The sequence below is a fragment of the Homo sapiens genome, chromosome 7 (genome assembly GCF_000001405.40).
Source record: "Homo sapiens chromosome 7, GRCh38.p14 Primary Assembly".
NCBI lineage: Eukaryota > Metazoa > Chordata > Mammalia > Primates > Hominidae > Homo > Homo sapiens.
Window position 1 is genome coordinate 36,874,711 of NC_000007.14, and position 19,539 is coordinate 36,894,249.

The 19,539-nt window shown below is 42.8% G+C and overlaps 1 protein-coding gene and 1 long non-coding RNA gene across 17 annotated transcripts in view; one reads left to right on the plus strand and one right to left on the minus strand.

Moving 5' to 3' along the window:
- Positions 1–19,539, minus strand: part of ELMO1 (engulfment and cell motility 1) — a 596,421-nt gene that overhangs the window by 21,805 nt on the left and 555,077 nt on the right. For 13 of the 15 annotated variants that reach the window (NM_001206480.2, XM_011515654.3, NM_014800.11 and 10 more), the window contains 2 exons: positions 12,850–12,962; positions 3,300–3,407 (listed from right to left, as the gene is read on the minus strand). In NM_001206480.2, the coding sequence (NP_001193409.1) occupies positions 3,300–3,407; positions 12,850–12,962 (221 nt within the window). The remainder of the gene's footprint in view (positions 1–3,299; positions 3,408–12,849; positions 12,963–19,539) is intronic. The other 2 variants (NR_038120.2, XM_047421089.1) reach the window with 1 other exon arrangement.
- LOC105375235 (uncharacterized) lies at positions 6,616–19,358 on the plus strand. Of its 2 annotated transcripts, XR_002956504.2 has the most exons (6): positions 6,616–9,277; positions 9,955–10,077; positions 15,477–15,636; positions 17,022–17,091; positions 17,184–17,268; positions 17,903–18,029. It is a non-coding gene; the product is annotated as an uncharacterized LOC105375235 (long non-coding RNA). The 2 variants fall into 2 exon arrangements; XR_007060290.1 differs by lacking the exon at positions 17,022–17,091 and having other exon boundaries at positions 17,903–19,358.

Sequence of the window (19,539 nt, forward strand, 5' to 3'; positions counted from 1 at the left end):
CCTAGATTCTTTCAAAGGGAGGCAGTGAGGAACCCAGGGCATGGCTGGAAAGCAGTGGGGTCCTATGTTTATTGGGGGCTATGACAACCTGTAAGTCAGCTTGGGAGGGATATGGGGAGAGGGGGGATGTAAGAAGATGTCGATTTTCAAAGGCCAAATTTCCTGACAAAGAAAAGGAATACAAAAAGAAAGATTTCCTAAAGCTTTGGAGAAGACAGCCAAGGAGGCACCCTCAATCCTCATGTGCACTATCTGTATTAAGAAAACTCCATTATACTATTTGATTTATCAATAGCTCAGTATTCAGCACGGATTAACTCAAGGGGCACAAGACACTCTCTGCCTTGGTCTCAAGAGAGGGCAATGTTATGTGGCAAGAGCAATGACACTGAACATTAATTAAAAGCACGTCTCATTTTTCCAGTGGAATGAGGTTTCTGACTTTTAAGAGTTCCAAAAGGTGGCTATTTTGCTCCAGGCAGAATGCAGAATTGGAATTAAATGCAAACCAAGGTGGCAGGCCTGCAGCAAGAAACTTCAGCTTATTAGGCCGGGCTTTTTTTTTGTCTCAGGCACAGTATTGCTTCATTTCAATTCATTACATGAGTATACCCATTTCTCTAGCACATATGTGCAGAAGGATACAGTCTTACTAGTACACACACACTCTCTTTCTCTCTCTCTCACACACACACTCTCCCACAAGGTGTGGATAAATACTTGTGCAGATAAATAGATCCACACAAGTATGCATTGTTAGTTCATCTTGCAATGGATATACTGTTTTTGGAGCAGCTCTTTGGAACTTCATTTCAGAGGAAAGCAGTTGCTAAGAGTTTTGGAGGCATGGTCAGGAGGGGCTGTCACAATCCCTTCAAGAACCAGCCTTGCTCAGTGGCCACTGCGAAAAGCTGTGTGGAGATTTGCAGCTCTGGCCTTGCTCTCCTGCACTCACCCTGGCAAGCTGGCTCTCCCTGGCATCAGCACCTCTAGTTCCAGGTTAGTTATTTTCACCCTGGAGTCTTGGGGGTGAGGGTCTTAGCAGAGCTGGGGGGCATTAGCTTGTGGGCAAGACCAGGAACTGCCCCTACACAAGGCTTTGTTGCTGTGGCTGCCAATATCCTAGGTAGCTGGCCAATTAGCATGGGGGTGCTGTGCTAACACCTGGCAAACCTGTCGGTCAAGTGCCTATCTTTGGGTTGAGAAGTGATTACATCCCTATAAACATGGGGCTAAACACTATGTCCTGTTAGTGGGAGAGCAGATTCACTGGACCATATGGGGAGTCAAGCTGTGTTTGTTCTGTCCTGACCACTTTTCCCCTTGTGACAGGTTAAGAATGGGGCTGTGGGGGACCTCCTAGGGAGCTGCTATTTGCTTCAACCAACAATAACCTCAACTCTTTCTGTTTAACCACTGCAGAGCAGTGATTCCACATCGCTGGGCTCTGGTCAGTTCCTAGTTCACAAGGGAGTTTACACCAGTGAGCTTTTCACCAGTTAATAGCAAATGCAGAAAAACGAGAATGCTGGTGTGAGTTTTTCAGAGGGCTAATTTAGTTTAGCAGAAGGGACTGTCTTTTATCTAAGATTAGGTCCTTCTTACTTTTTTTTTTCTTGTAATCGAGGGTCCTTTCTTTTATGAAAGGGTTGTGATATTAAACTTTAGATTTTATTTTTTAATATCCTTTTTTTTTTTTGGCCCAAGTTAAAAGTTAGCAACATGCTATTAATTTACTTAAACTTTTTGTTTTTTTAAAATTATTAGTGAAAGCCACATTTGGGGAATCACAGTTCTGAAACTTGTGCATGTCAGAACTGGCGGGAACATCTGTTAAAACAGAGATGGCTGGTCCCCACCCACTGAGTTTCTGATTTAGCAGGGCTGGGAATGGGGTCTGAGAATGTGCATTGCTAAGAAGTTCCTAGGTGATACTGCTGCTGATGTTCCAGGGACCACGTTTAGAGAACCGCTGGTCTAGCTTGGCCAAGGTGGGGTGGGGAAGGCTGGAACTGTGAAAGGAGGATCCTCATTTACAGGTAGAGGCCCAGGACACCCCTAACTCCTGCCCCAAAGCAGGGAGGCATAGACAATGTCCCAGGCTCTCTGCAGCAGTGGATTTCAGATTTCTTTCTATAACCCCTGACTTAGGGAGCCAATAATGTGGGCTGGGAAGAAAGTTTTCCTATGAAAGAAAACAAGATCGTTTTCTGAACTAAGTGACATCACAAAGACCAGACTGTCCCATTTTTAAGCTGGAGGAAGAGTGAATGTTCTAGGCTATCTGCCTGAGATGTCAGCGCAGAGTCTGAATGTGTCAGGAAATTTCCCACTCATGGGTTATTTTCACCTTCAATGGCCGTGAGCTGTGAGGAAGGTAATCCAGATTTGACTTCCATGGGCCCCAGGGTAACAGGACAGAAGGTGTGAGACTCTGGGTAAGGACACTGTCTGGGACACGCTTATCTGAACACTGCAAGGTCAAGGTGACTTTTAAAGGTTATTTAAAAGTGCTCTGAATGTTTTCTCCCTCTCGGATTTTTCTACTTGGGATATCCTCTGAGGCTACGTTCATTTTATCTCATTTCTCCTCCAAATTAATTTATCACCCTTGTGTATTTCAGTGTTTCTATAATACTTGTTTAATTTGTATTGTTAACACTGTCAACCTGGCACCTGGTTCCCTGTGGGGCTAAAAGAATCCTGCACATTACTGTCTCTTCAAAAGCATGTATGTTAAAACAGACAACATATAGAAAAAGCCAAAAAATATACAAGAGAAATATTTAGCAAACAGTAGAGGTAACGGATCATCATTTTCAAAGTGTCTTTGAGGTAAACTAGCTATATTTGGCTCTGCCATTAACTCTGTGTCATAACTATGGGATACACTAAATTGTAAGGAATAAATGTTGTAGGGGTCAGGCATATAAGTTACGAAAATAAGAAATTATTTTGGGTTTTCAGAAAAAGACAGCTGACAGAATCAGGTTTGTATTGTTTTTGCTCCTTGACACAGCACCTGGATAAATAATGTAAAAAGTGGACATTTGAACCCCCAGTTTACGTCTTTCAATTAAGATACCTTTGCATCCATTTTACATTCTCCCCTATTCAGTTCCAAACCCCAAGTCCATCCAGGTCTTGTACTTGATGAGATGGCTCAGGCGACGACTTACAACTAGATGAGATGTGTTCAAAGGGCTTACTTAGGCTGATAGTTCTGTTGCGTGATATATTGTGACTAGGAAACAACCAACCGACCACCACTCAGGCCTCTGCCAAGGAGAGCTACTTACGTTTGTCCTGCAAGGAATCGTGGGGCACTTCTCCCTGAGGACTCTCTTCTAAGTCTCCGTAATGCAGGACTTTGTGATTTGGCGAAAGCCGACAATACCAAAACTTGTCTGAGAGAAAAAACACAAGTTTACAAGGTAAGTGATTGTGGTTTATCAAAATACTAGCCTGGTTATTTCTTAATACTCTTGCCTGGAGGAAACAAGCAGTTCATTTGATTTTAAGTCTTGAGGAAGAATGAATTCTAGGGCCCTGGGCAATAAATTCCCTTTTGACTTTAATATTTAGTTATCACCTGTCCTGCTTGGTATACATTTGGTAACCATTAGTAAAGTCATTGAACTCTTCAAGCTCAATAGCAATAGATTTTATGAGGTGGTGGCTTCCAGAGGTTATGTTATCACTAATGATAACCACCATGGGAACTGCTCCTTATTCATTTACTGACAAAAGAGGGAGGGAGATATAGAAAAAAAAACAGATTTCTCAGAATGTTTCTGCTTCCACTTTCCTCTCTGAGAATTTCAGACTGTTGAGACAGTTGTGTCCAAGGCCAGATTTTAGCTGATACAACAAACCCCTACCCTAGGCTACCACACGCACATTAATCATGAACGAATTGTTAGGACACTGGTAATACACATGGTGGGTGGGATTCATGAGGAAATCATCTAAATAATTCACGGATTTAGCCAAAGAATGGGGACATGCACAATCATTCTCCTCTCCAATTCCCAGAATTTACTTCTCTGGATAGGTATGACCAGGAGATTAGGGTCATCCTTATAAACAACTTCCTCAACTTTACTGCCTCAGTCTCTCAAAAGTGAGAAGAAATTTTGAGTAAGTCTATGAGGCAGGAAGAAAGAGGCAAAGAGCACTTTTTATAGGTTAGGGACTTGAACTGTGACAGCAATGCTTGTGCAGCTGTCTCCTCCAGGAAGCCCTCTTTATCCCTGCAGCCGAAGGGCCTCTCCCCATCCTCTGAGATGTTCTACAGTCTTCTTTGCACCACCAGTTTGGCTTGGACTGGCAATATTGGAGCCTAATGTTAACACCTTAGTATTTCCCATTATCTGCTACAGACCCTAGGTAAGTAACTTGCCCTTGAGGGTGTATTGTGAACAATTAATATTGATAGGAGAAGAGGACTCCAGCCCTGACAGTGTGGAAGAGTCACAGTCTCTCCGATGACAGTCACTGTCTTCATAATTGCAACATCCCAATCTCTTGGCACAGTGTCTGACACATAAAAGTTGCACAGTTGGCGTTGGCTAAGCTGATAAATGAAGACCCAAAGCGACCTGATCAAAATGCCTAAGGCATGAGGTGTCAGTCACCTACAAGCCCCTTTGCACCACTGTGCGGTTGGTACCCTTTGAGGCCTTGGCCAAGTTACCTCATTATTGCACCTGAAATATAATTTGTTTTCAAGCCACTCTAACTAAAAAGCTCTTCATTATATTTTAAGAAAAGTGGTTTTCTCTCTAAAATTGCTGTCACTGCAAACCCATGGTTTAATTATGATTCTTTTAATAGAAATAGAAGTTTTAAGAATGGAAGTAAAAGCCACACAATGAACAAAGAAAATGCCCAAATTTGATCCACAAAAGGAGAGTGTCTCTGTGATTCTTATCTTCCTCATCTTTAAATAGAGTTTGAGAATTCTGAAGCATAGTCAGAGTACGGCAATCCATAGATTTAAAGGAATCTGAACTCTAGTGGAAAAAATTGAGTGGGAAAAGGGTCATTTAACAGCTAGGAAAATATTTGAAATTGCTAAATTTCAAAATTATGCTATGTATATACCAAACATGGGTCATTTTTCTGGGAGAGCATTTCAAAGGGAGAAAACAGTTATTCTCTGAGTAATTCACAGACATTTAAATTAGGCAAATGTGTACTTATGGGTTTTTCATGAGGAGAGCAACCTTGGGGATTTGACTTGTAACTTACAATAGGAACTGTGAATTCCAGAGCAGGAGGCAATGGCTTTCTGAACATCAACAGTGCTCTTGGGGGCCTGTGGGGGCTGCCTCTCCCCACGGATACTTTCCCCTGCCCTACGTGGCTGTGATGACCAGAAAGCCAACTGGAGAAATCTGCTATAAAGTTTTCCTTTCCTTGCTGCATCTAGGTGATACGTTTGGCTGTGTGAGCGACTAAAGGGTGATAGAGGCTGGGAAGGAAGACAGTGAGAAGTGGTACTTGGACATGCTGGGCTTATTGTGAGTTAGGTCTTGGCCTGTGCTTTATAGGAATCCCTTGCTTCTCAAGCTGGGGTAAGTAAACTCTAGGGGTCAGCAGTGGGACTTGAAGCCAAGCCAATGTGTCACAATCAAACAAGATCAATGACACTCAATTGATTTTGAGGGAATTAAGAAATTTAACTGGTGCACAGTATAATACAAACACATATTATTGTAGAGTAAATTGCACAACTTAATATTCATGTGTAAGATATATTGATTTGTAAGACTTCGAAAATTTTGCTGCTCTACTTTCAGGATAAATTTGTTTATCCAATGAATATTTGCTGAGTGGCTGTCTACAATGCACACAGCACTCTACTATGTGTAGCGAAACATCATTAGAACGGAAGGTAGACATGAAAGACAAGGCCAAGGAGTTCAAGGAAAAGGAGCTCCCTCAGTTCTTCAAGGCAGCTAAGAGAAAGATGTTGTTTCCCAGGTCTGGGAAGTAGGAACTGGGACAAATCAGCAACTCTGGCAATACTATGGAGAAAAATAGGAATGCAGAAATCTCTTGTGCAACATATTCTTACATACAGTAATGATCAGAGAACAGTGGCTATCTGTCAGAGTTTCAAGAGGCAAAACAGCCATCTTCCTTGCAAAGTTGGAGTTGATGTTTGTTTAAAGAAAACCCAAAGGGTCTGCAGCGGACAGATTTTCCTCCTTTCCAAAGCTGAAATTCCCTTGACTTGTATGACACCATCTTGCCTTGGTTTTCCTCCTACCTCTGGCTAATTCTCTTATCCTATACAAGTTTCTCTTCTTCTGTCTACTACTAAAACGATAAAAAGCAAAAAGATTGGTACATCACAGATATAAGTGATGTGTTCCACTCCTCATCAATTAGGAAGTCTTGGATGGATGGCAAAATATTGGAAAAAGGGGCTGAAAACGCTGAGAAACTTGTCTTGACTCATAATCAAATGGGAGGCTACTCAGCCAGTATCTTCCTCACAGTAAAACTGGAGTCCTTAGCTTTGGAAGGCTTAGACGTTGTGTATTTCTGTCTTGAAGGGAGAGCCACTACAAGGATAGCATCAGCACAGTGCGTCGACATGTTGGGTGAGACAGTTTCAGTGTCAGCCACCAGCAGCAGCTTGATTTGCAGTTTCTTTTACGGCAAGACAAATGTGTATTTTCCTTTCAAACCCCAGCATGATGTTACTTGTTCCTTTATCCCTCTGGGCGATGAAAGAGTGAATTGCGTCACTAAAAGCAATTAGCAGGAAGCAGTGAGAACATTATCAAAGATTGTTTACTAGCATTTTGGAGAAAACAATAGTTAATGTGGAGGTCTTCCAGTCAATTACTAATGAGAGTACGTTAATAGCCAGGCTTCATCTCCAAACCCAAAACAAAATACAGGGAGAATTTCGTGTTTCAATCTTTTTCTTGCGTGCGTGTGCGTGTGTGAAGGATAAGAGGGAAGAGCTGCTTTCAGAGTTCACAAGCCTGGTAAGAAGGGCTGATTAAAGCTATTCCCAATGTCACATAGATTGTTATGGAGCTAATAACCACTGTCAACTGTAATTTTTGCAGTGCCCTCCTACAGAACTTCCTACAATGATGGAAATTCTCTGTATCTGTTTTATCCAATACTAAGAAAACAAATTATAAATTTTCTTTCATTTTAAATAACTTAAACAGCCGTAGGTAGTTCTATCAGACAGTGTAGCCCACCGTCTGTCTTCAATCATCCAGGCCCAAGACAAGCTTGGGGCTGGTCCCTGGGTCTCCAGGAGAGCCCAGCAAGCTGAACAATGGCAACCACTGGTAGGTGTGAAATGCCAGCCAGTTCAGTGAGACACAGGGCACAGCAAGAACCAAACCCCGAGACTGCCATGGAATCAGGACACATCTTTGTTTTGAGTGCAGAGCCCGCTGTCAGCAGCTGGGGGCTGACCCCGGGGGCCCTAAGAGTCCTGTATTAGGGAGGAGAACAGGTTTTTCTAAAAGATGTCTTTAGAACACTTCCATTAGGATTCTGAATTTTCCCAAGGATAACCTAAAATGTGCCAAGTCTTCTGTGTGTTCAGAACAAGGTCGGCTTTCTGCCTAAGGTCCAAACTTTCCAAGTCACAAAACAAGAGGGACCCAGCAATGTGTTTAAAGGGAAATGTCATCTTTCAGGTGATGAGATCTAAGATTTTTTTGTTGGTACAAAAAAGGGAAACAACTATTGATACAGAGACGAAGGGCATCAAATCTTCCTCACTTCACTGAGCTTTCTTTAAAAGGACAGATTTGTGTTTTGATTCTGAATTCTGCCTCCCTGGACACAGCTGCTCAGAGCAAATGACACCGGAGTCCCTAGGTACTTTCCAAGATGATTTGGTCTAACAGGTGCCTTGAAGTCACACATAGCTGGATGACACACCTGGCCCTGATGCTTATTAGCTGCGGGGCCTTGGCCTAATTGTAAAAACTTCAGAAATCCCTGTTCTTCATATGTACAATGGTCATAATTATATGAGTAAAACACACATAAAGTATGGATCCTACATCTTCCAGAATTGGTTCTCAGAACATATTTGTAGTTTCCTGCTCTTCTAGTCAATGGCAGTCCCTCTCGTCCACACTACTGTCCCTCCATCTTTTGGAAACAATGATTATGTATTATTCTGACCTATTGGGAAGTGCCTTTTTTTCATGAAAATGAACTGGCTTTTCATAATTTGAAAATATGTATTTATTTATACCTGCCTTTTTGTAACAAAATATTAAAATAAAATTTCAACCAGGGATGGAGAAAGGAATGACCTGCTCCCCACAACAGGGCAATATGGTTACCATGCCTGAACGCACCACTTGGCTCTAGGTCTTCTGAGGGGGCCTCCAGAGCAACGTAAGATATACCAGCCTTGTTGGCAGGAGTGGTAGGTACGCATTTTGCCCAACATTGAGTTCCAACATAAGCCTGTCATGTCAGCACTTAGGGAATGCTGGTCAATGAAACAGACACTGTCCTCTGCAGGAGGTTTCATGTTATCACTTCTTGAAATGATTTCCAATGTTAGCCCTGGACTCTTACCAAGGCCATTCAATGCAAGTGATTCTGAAAGACCTTCATCTCTAAAATACAAGAGAAGTAGGGGGCAGTTCTTGAGCCTACAGATTCTCATGAAGCAAATAGTGGCTGGTATCATTTCGATCTGTGTCCTCACCAAATCTCATGTGGAATTGTAGTCCCCAGTGTTGGAGGTGGGTCCTGGTGGGAGGTGACTGGATCATGGGGGTGGAATGCTCATGAATGTTTTAGCGCCATCCTCCCCTTGGTACTGTATAGTGATAAAGTCCTCTTGAGATCTGGTTGTTTAAGTGTGTGGCACCTCCTCCTCCCTCTTTTCCTCCTGCTGTGGCCATGTGAAGCTCCTCGCTGACCCTGCCCCACCTTCTACCATGATTGGATCATGATTGGGAGTTTCCTGTGGCCTCCCCAGAAGCAGAAGCTGTGATGCTTCCTGTACAGCCTACAGAACCGTGAACCAATTAAACCTCTTTTCTTTATAAATTAGTCAGTCTTAGGCATTTCTTTATAGTAATGCGAGAATGGACTAATACAGTGTCCCTAACACAGACATCTTCTGGGGTTTCATCTGAAATCTCTCCTGCAGGAGTCCAGGGAACACAGAAGCCAGGCAATTTCCATGCCAAGGATTCTGCGACCAGAGCTTATACTTCGTGGTCAACATGTATAAGCTTGGGGAGAGAGTGGAGTGATGCAGGTGTGTGGGCTCCCATGCTACTCCACCTCCTGTGCTTAGAAATATACATTCTGGCCAAGTGCAGTGGCTCACGCCTGTAATCCCAGCACTTTGGGAGGCAAGGCAAGTGGATCATCTGAGGTCAGGAGTTCGAGACCAGCCTGGCCAACATGGTGAAATCCCATCTCTGCTAAAAATACAAAAAAATTACCCGGGCATGGTGGCGGGTGCCTGTAATCCCAGTGGAGGCTGACGCAGGAGAACTGCTTGAACCCAGGAGGCAGAGGTTGCACTGAGCCGAGATCATGCCATTGCACTCCAGCCTGGGTGACAGAGCGAGACTGTCTCAAAAAAAAAAAAAAAATCTATATTCTGAGGCGCTACGAGCTAAAATTAATAGCAAACATCATTAATGAATGTTTGATAATCTGCCAAGCATCAAAGTGCTATAGATGTATAATTTTACTTACCCCTTATGGCTATTTGATAGAGGAACTAACATTATCCCCATTTGAAAGACGAAGAAAGAGGAGCACAAAGACATTGAGCAGATTGCCCGAGGCTACCCAGCTAGTGAGTAGGAACAGGGACTTCAACCCAGCTTATTGTGTCTTTTGAGATATATTACCTCCCAGTCCTAATGTGGTTAGAATTCCCAGAAACCCAGATCTGTAAATGTCTGCATGTGACTATTCCAGTAGCAGAGCTGCACATGAGACAGGCAGAAGGATCAGCAAGTATCAACTCGGGGACCTGCTAGCCAAACGTGGCACAGTCGAGCACTCTCTATTTGTTCCTTCACTTTCCAGTTCTGTGGAGCTGTAAGTTCTTTCATATTTTCCCTTATAAAGTTAACTACTGAAATTCACTCATCTGTGTCCTACTCATTGTCAGACAAGTTTAGAGGGAGTATGGTGCTGGCTCCTGCACTGGGAGTGTCTGCTCTTTAACCTGTGGTGGCACCAGGCAGGCGGTTGTCCATCCCAGTCTGAGATCTCATGTAGAAGTGCGTCTTTCTCGAAGGGATTAAAAATGTCATGTTCTTATTAATCTGTGTAAATCTAAATGGAATGTTTTGATGGGGTGATAGGAAACCAATTTCAGCACAGTCTGCTTTGAATCCCTATTTTTAAGCACAGAGCCAGTCACCAGATTTCAAATCCATTTACCAAATACCAAAAAGCCTTCCTTTCTGCACTCGGAAGGATGATTTTGTATTAAACACAGATGGTCATGCTCCCTAGGGAGCTCAACTCATAAATTTATAATCTAGATGCTAATATTTTTTTGTTCAGGGGTAGTTCATTTTTAGAAAATTGGAAAAATTTATAGATACGGGACTAACATTTTTTAAACAACAACAACAACAACAACAACAACAACAACAACAACAAACCCTGTAGTTAATACATCTAGAAACAGGATTATTCTGATACAACCTACCCACTTCAACCTAGTCAGGGAAGTCTCATGACGCAGTAGACTAGAAGGTTAAATTGGTGCTAGGAGCTAGGTTGTGAGGGACTCTAGCTGGGCAGCAGCGGAGGCAATGGGTGTCTATTTGCCATTTCCCATCCCCAAAACTTCTGTGCCCTTTGCCCAATGTCAAGTAAGTAAAAATCTTATAAATCATCTTTATGGGGGCAATATATCCCAAACATTGATTTTTCCAAAGGCAATAAAGACATCAGGGCATACAACCGACTCTCTGACTAAATGAGCTCCTGGATCCCCTAATCCTGTCCTCCCACTTTACAGATGAGAACTTGGGGCCTTGAGAGGTCATGTGTCCTTCCTAAAGACACCTAGGTGGTTATTTAAAGAACTGAGAAGCCTGGCACCAAGTCCACTCACTCTGGCTCACTGCTTTTTTCCTACACAATCTTAAAGAACAGCAGTAGCTCCCTTGTTTTGCTGTTTCTTGTTGCTACATTCATAATCACCTCTCTTCCTCATGATAGCCTTGGGAGACAGGCATTGCTATCCCCATTTCGGATGGGGAAATTGCCCAAGGTCACACAGCTGGACAGGTGTAGAGGCAAGATCGCACCCACATTGCCTGGTTCCAGGGCTATGTCCTTGCCACTGAGCCCTGTGGTCTTCTTGGAACACCATTTACTCTGACATGATGCCCGATGCAAGGAACGCGATGAGAGGAGGGCATGAACTCATTCTTCAGTGGCTGAATGGGAGGGAGGAGTTCCCTCTTCCACTGGTCTCACTAATAGGAGGCTTTCTCTGTAACTCAGCCCTTATTACTCTGCCCATTGTCCTCTCCTGAGGCTCAGCTTGAAATTCACTCTAAGAGCTTCTCATTCTCTGTGAAGAAACTGCATTTTCATTCCTCCAGGAAGTTCTGCCTTTGGAAGTTCCTCAATGTGATGTTTAATGGTGACATGAGAAATACTTCCAATTTACTGAATATGCAGCACAGGACAGTTACAGTAAATGGCCGGGGGATGAGTTCAGCTGACAAACACAAAATGATTTTTGTCATTAGTGGGTGAGCTCTGTGGCTTAGCAGGGCATCCAGCAGGTTTCAAAATATCTGCCAAAGTTTCTCCTGGGCCATAACTGGTGTTCTTAGTATAGCTGCTAATGCCTGTGCTTGCTCCTGCCTCTTCTTCAATCTCTTTGCCTCTTCCCAAATCTTACTTTTCAGTTTTATGCTCTGGCTGTTTGCTTCTAGGAGAGTGTGGTATGAAGACTCTAGCTGTGCAATCAGCAGCATGTCAAGAGAGCAAGAAAACAGTCAAGGGTGCTTTACTTGTCCAGGAAAGAAACAGCTAGACATGTTTCCCACCTGTTGGGTCTACTCTTTTGACATCCATTTGAATTTGACATTTTGAGGTTAGAATTTATAGAGACAATTCAGAAATCTGCCTTGAGAAATTATGTAAGTGATGCTACCCTATCTTAGTTCACTGTTACTTATATCCACATATAAAATAACTCTGTCCTAGAAGAGAAGCAGTGTGGGAGATTTGACAATAAGGGCCATCCATGCTGGAAGCTCCAAGATCAAACCAAACAGTGAGTGCCAGCTCTCCTACAGCAAGGGGAGTCATTAAAAGGAAGGGTCCTGGAGCTGTGGAGTTTGAATCCTTGCTCTTCTGTGACTTTGGGCCAGTTTCTTAGCCCTTTAGTGCCTCTATTTCCTAATCTGTACACTGGGCACAATCCTAGTAGTTACTTCTTAGGGTTATGGTGAGGATAAAATGCTTTATAAAGTAATGCATTGTAACAGGTATTGGCCAGAACATAGATCCGGAAGTCAGAAGACTAGAGTTTCAGAAGCACCTGGCACATGGTAGGCTCATATACGTGTCAGCTATTGTTGACACCACCACTAGCAGTTTTTGTGGCACTAAATAGCAAAGAATGGCTCTTCATTTCTGTGGCTCTTCTGGTAATTGTGGACTTTGATTCTCTCTGGGTGTGCATGGGAACCAGAAACGACCTGGACTGCTATTCCTGTCCTGAGTACAATGCTGCATGGCCTACCCGTAAACCAACACCATGCCCTTGTGATTCTCCAGGGAGCGGGCCACTGTTTACCCTATCCAAGTTTGGAGTGTCCCCAGAAACAATACCTTGCCTCCGCCGGGCATTGAGTTTCCTAAAGCAGGTCCCTTCCACAAGGCGGTTCAGGCGTTGCTGTTTGATCAGCTCTAAGATTTCTGGCTGAATCTTCTCCTTTAGTTCCCTGTTAGAGGAAAAACACATATTCCACAGCATGCCTTGAGAAACAGAGTGTGGCTTGGTGGGCATCATGGGCATACGGGCAGGGGAGAACAAGTGCATCTTTTCATGAGCATCTAATACCTCCAACTTGGTGCTTTAGAGAAGTGTTTATTAAGAGTCAGTGGCCAGGGGCATAAGTACAACACCACAATAGATTCTGTGACATTTACAGAATTCCACAAAAGAACCAGCTACTTCAGTGATGTTTTTCCAGAGCAAAGTGTCCTGAAAATTTTCTTCTTTTATTTTACAAAGCCACGGATACAAAGTTATGCAAAAATCCATTCAGCACTGCTAAGACAATCAATCCTTGGTCAACTTTTTTCCCCTGTACCAGCTAAACTCTGGGACTGTGTTTGTGATCTGATTAAACAGGCATATTAGGCAACCACACGATTACTATTCCACAGCAAACACTGTGTAGTGAGCAAACCACAGGACCACTTTTGCTTCCAATTCCATCATTCACAAATGGGGACAACAACACTGTCCCAGATTCTAGCCCACAGAGACTGAGATAATGATGGGAAAAATGAAAGATTATTTGTATCTTGTCTCAGGCTAATGCAATATAATTTAGTTTGAGATCCATTATGCTGCAAAGATATCATGATAGAGTGAAATGGTTTTCAAATTTTTTTTTTTAGAGCAGAAATTTTTATCATAGGAAATTTTATGTAGTGCCCTAGCATTTGAGTCTAGTAAAGCCAAAACTATTCTAGTTGAAGCTGGACAGGGAGACCCAGAGCCCATTCCTCATAGCAGTGTAAGAAGTACTGGTTAGAACATAGATCTACAAGTCAGAAGACTAGAGTTTCAGTCTAGGCTCTGCTCACGACTAGCATTTCCTGTAACTCATCTAAGTCTCAGTTTCTTCATCTATAAAATGGGAATAAGAATCTTTCCTGCTGTGACTCCCAAATGAGACAGAATACAAGTCTTTATTAAGCACTGAGCAGGAATGTAAGGCACAACTGAATTTGCTTTGGTGACATTCTCTCCTTTCCTCAAGCCAAACAGTCCATAGGCCCATATTACCCTGTAGTCAAGGCTCACACATTCATCAGCTTCCACCTTAACTCTGGACTTGCCTTGACACTGAACTGCAGGCAACCTGTTCTCACACAGTGCTCCATTCTGAGGTGAGAAAGGTACTCATGCTTGTTGGGCACCTGCTATGAGCCAGGTAGTGCAATATGCAATTTTAGCTCATTTAACCTTCCTTCCTTCCTTCCTGAAAATAACAGCTTTTGGGGAAAGTATTAATGTCATCATTCCCATCATTCCCATCTTACAGAAGGGGAAACAACTCGTGGAGGTTACGTGTGGAATATGGGCACAGACTCAGGTTTTCCTTGTGCAAACTGCTTTGATTTACTCATGAGAAAAAAGAAAAAAGTTACATAAAAGGATAAGGCCATCTAACAGGGTATTCTAGTACTCCATTAATACATTTTTTGAGGCTTAAGTGCCCTCAAACATTCTCTCATTTGATACTGTTCCAACTGAACATCTATAAAGCATAATATGGAAATTCAGTCCTAATAATAGTTTGGGACATTTGTAAAGCCTTCCCTGTACAGGTCTCTTAGGGTCTCATTTCAGGCTTTCAGATCACTAAACTATTTATTATCAGCACTTAGCTCTACCTAAAATGGACTCAGTAAATTGCAGCTTTGAAGAACCCTGCACTGAGTGGAAAAGAAAGTGGGTAACTGCCAGGGAGCTGCACACAGCAATAAATCACTGCTCCCAACTTCCAAGTCCAGGTGACAGGGTGCAGACAAAGGCACGGTACCAGAGGATGGAGAAAATCTGGGAGAAAGAGTTTTGGAATTTCATCAATTCTTAGGTTATAGATATATGTATTTAAATAACAGTTTCACTAGGCCAGGGTTGAGTTATTAAAATGGAGTGGAGAATGCAGTGATGAAGACCAAGAGAAGGAAACAACTGAAGGAATTCTGAGTAATCTTAACTGATGCTTTATGACTTTTTTGTGTAAGACCCAGAGGTGCCTGTCACAACGCATTTCATCATGGAACCATATTCTGAGGATGCACTATCAGAATAAGAGAATCTGCTGCTACAAGAGTTACTCCCCGCTTTTTTTTTGTTATAAGCCTCAAAGGACTACAAAACATGACCAGGCAATGAAGGAAATGAGACAGCTCTTTCTTTCTTTCTATTGCACTACCCGGCTCATGGCAGGTGCCCACCAGCTCTTTCTTTTTCAAAGCAATTTCTTCTTTCCTGGCGAATGGACTCAGTAGCCGTAAAATTCATACACATTAAGAAAACATAAGTAAGCCCTACAGTATGTTTCTGTGGCCGATATCTGCCCTCTGGGGTAAGCCAGGTAATAACCCCATGGGCTATAACTGGGTTTTGAAATTCTGAGCTTGGGGTCAATCAGGCCAGGGTCATGGGTTTACTAGCTTTGCTTTGCTAAATATCTTTCTCATTCTATCCAAAGGTCTTGCCAATAAATAAAAGGAGGAAGATTAAAGGAGAGAAGATTTAAAGAGTGTGTGAAGAGCAATTCAAAGTCTAGCACTGTTTCTGGAAAACAATTTCAAGTTCAAGCCCAGTGAGGCCACTGCCATGCACAGAAGACAGACAGCACCATCAGACTGGTGAGATTCCTTCTTTGACTTGGGGTCTGCCCTACTGAGCAACTACCCACTGTCCATCTCTCTGCTGAACTCCAAGCTCATCTGTCTGACTGTCTAATTGGACGTCTCGTAGCTTCACATATCCAAAGCCGAACTTCTGATCCCCTGCTCCACTTGCTCTGTCCTTTAGTTGTTAAGGCCCCAAACCGTGAGTTCATCCTTGACTTCTCTCTTTCTCTTACACCCCTTAGGTATTTCCTAATCAATCAGGAAATACCTTTGTCCCTTCTCTTCAAAATGGATCTCATTTTCAGTACACTATAATCATTTCTCATCACCTCTTGCTTGGGTTATTAAAATAGCTTTCCCATTTGATTTCCCTGCTTCCAAAAACTTGCTTTCTTAGTGTCTATTTCCAATACAGCATCAGAGGGATTATTTAAACACCTAAGTCACATCACATCATTCCTTTGCTCAAAACCCTCCAATGGCTCCCCAACAAGGCCTTGTGTAATGGGGCTCCCTGCACTTTTCTGGCCTCACCTTCCGTTGCTCTCTCCCCCTCAGTTATTCTGCTCCAGCACACTGGCCTCCTCTTTATTCACTAAACACCCAGACCTGCTCCAACCTCAGGGCCTTTGCCCTGGTGGTTCTCCCTGTCTGGAGTACCCTTCTCCCAAATACCCACATGGCCTGCTCCCTTAGTCCCTTACAAGTCTGTACTCAATTGGCACCATCCTAATTAGAGACAGCTACTCTAACCAACCTATTTAAAACTGCACTCTATTTCCCTTATCTTGCTTTGTGTCTCCACTGCATGTATCTCCTCTTAACTTGCTGTCATCTTATTCACCATGTGTATTGTCTTTTTTCTCCCTACTAAAATATAATCACTGTAGGGGTAAGAAATATGTCTGTTCTCTTCACTGCTGAATTGCCAACACATAGAATAGTGTCTGGCACGTGGCAGGCACTCATTAGATATTTGTCAGCTGTCTGAACACTGAACATTGTCTAACTGACCAGACTGTCCCCCTTGCATTGGTTATGAGAAAGCTTTCAGTGAAGCATGCGGCTGATCTTTAGCGAGGATGCAGATTTGCAGGGTAGGTATCAGCTTTATTCCTGGCTTTGTTTTTGCTTTTCTTTCCCATGGATTTCTATTGTCCTTTCTAAGACAAGGGAGAGGCATATATTAATACAAATATATGCACAGTGTCAGTTTTATCATTTACATATCAACAGTATCACAACTTGTTAAATTCTGGTTACGGGCTAATAAGACAGAACATTTCTTCAAGTGGATATTAGGTCCCAGGCATATGAAAAGTGCTTTTCATGCATGACTCTGTCAAATCCTTATGACAATCCAATGATGTAGACATTTTTGATATCTTCATTTTTAGAGATGAGAAAAGCAGGCTTAGAACGGATTACATAACTTGCTTACAGAGCCACATTTGTAAATGACTCCAGGTCAGTCTGATAGCAAATTGGGTCCAAGTTTTACACATTTTGCTTCCCTGCTTTCACTGATGTTTGTCTTTACATCTCCCCTTCCTCTCCAGCATAGTGTTAAATGATCGATTTTTGGACTATTCAAGCTTTTTATATCCATTAACTCCAATTAATTGGATGGACTTATCTTCCTTGGTAAGTTGCACTAAATAGGACATAACAAATACCTCCTCTTTGAAACAATTAGTCAAGAGCTAAGAAATAAAACAGAGCTTCTTTGACCCACTGAATATATATTCCCCCAAAATATTTATTCACATGGAGTTTACATTTTTCTTCTCAGAAAACGACCATTTTATAACAACAGGGTGTATTGCTCAAGTGGTCTGCATGGAGCTGAGGTCTGCCACCATGCTGTGTGTGGCACACACAGAGGGAGGAGGGCAGCCTGATGGCTAGTGGGATTCCCCACTGGTGGTCAGGCCCCAGCCAAGTTGCTGTCCCTGTCTGCAAAATGAAAAGCTTGAACTGGATGGCCTTAAGGGTGATTTTCAGCTCGAAAATCCCAATATCCTAACCCTCAAGCTTGGGTTAGATCCAACTCCTCTGTGCTCTTCCTGTAACTAAGCAATGAGCCCAGTCTATGGTAAATCCCCCACCCCTAATCCTAGCCTGTGACAGAGGGAGACCAAGTGTCTCTGGGTCTCTGTCTGCCCCCAGCACCTTGAGCAGGGCCTGGCATGTAGGAGTTGTTCAGTAGATGTTTGTGAAATGAAAAAATGAATGAAAACAAGCATACATGGTCTACTCCTCTATTTCTTTCTCTTAGGTGACTTGGTTTATCGTGTGAGCCATTCTGGCAGAAGTTAGACTTCATGTAACCCCATAATGAATTCCTGTCTAGTAGATCACTCTAATAGGCAAAACATATCGCAGCTACCCTCTGCCGGCTTCAGAGACTGGGGTCACTATCAAACTGGTCCCTGGCCCACCTGCTTAAATGCTGTGGCTCCTAACCACTCTTTGTGACTTTGCTGCAGCTACAGATATCAAGAACTCCAGTGGGCCATGGTACTTCTTGGTCCATGGCCGAGGGATTATGCAAAAGCTACATCCATGCAGGAGATTTCCTTCATATTTGGATAGTTTCAAAGATAAGAGCATCTTATAATAAAGGGGAAAGAAACTTCAGAATGTCACAGGCAAAGTCTTAGGAAGTGAAGATATAAAGCCAAAATAGGAGTAAAATGTTCGTACTTGCCATGAAGTTAATTAACATTCTTACTTGGAAAAAGTCAAGGTCAAACATAATTCATCAAACATAATTCAGAGTTACTTGGCTTTAACGGAAGTGATTCCTCAAGTCTCCCTTCAGGTTTTAAGACTTATTATGGAAAGCATAATAAAGTGTCCTACGTTTATACATCTGCTGAACCATGTTATGAAATCCAGTACACTGTAGGCCCTGGGATGGGGCAAGGAGCCATTGTCCCTCTTTGCAGGTGAGAAACTGCATCTCTGAGGAGCCAGTCACTTATCCAAAGTGCATCCTGCTTGGTGTTTCTAGCTGTTACCGTCTTCTGGCTGAGGACCAATGCAAAACCCCAGTGGTGCCTCTTGTCAAGGCTAGCTGGTGCTCATGCAGGTATGACTTAGGTTTTGCAATGATGAAGCCAAAGCGCCTTGGAAGCATTTTCCCTGCCCCGCTAACTAACTTCATGCCAACTAGTCTGAAGGGTTCTACTCCACAGTTTCCAACAGTGCTTCTTAAGATTGGAAAACAAATGTACGGTAGATGTTACTGCTTAGCTATTGTCCTTTTAGACCTGTGCACTTTTTAAACCTCATTTCAGTCTCTCACATTGCAAAGAAGCTAGGGCAGGGCAAACACAATATTAGCTGAGGGGTCAGTAGACTCGAGGCTCAGTCCCGGCTCTTCCACTTGTTGGCATGGTCTTCACCCCTCCAGACTAGCCTTTGCATAGGAGTAAGACCTGCCTATCCTAGCCTTTGCATGGGAGTAAGGCCTGCCCATCTCACAGGGACGTAAAGAAATGAAATAGCAAGAAGGGTGCATTACAAATTGCCAAGCATTAGAAGTGTCAAATACTGGAGAGCAACAAACAAAAAGGGAAAGAATCAGAAACAGAAAGAGAGCAGGTGTGTGTGGTGGGGGAGCACTGCCTTCAGAATTAAAACTATGTTACAAGTTGGCTTCATGCAAAAGCTCAGAAGAAGCTGTGTCCAGTCTTCTGAGGACAAAATGAGAATAAATATCAAACACATATGCCTTTCCCTGTGTTTTTCCTCTTTAAAATATACGGGTAACAAAATTGACCCAGCTCTTAGAACAGGAGAAAGGAAGAGAAACAGAGCAGTTCTAAGAAAAGATGAAGCAAGCAAAATACCCCTCATGTGTGAGTTCAGAACACTTCAAAGATTGGAATACATGACATTTTGCAATGG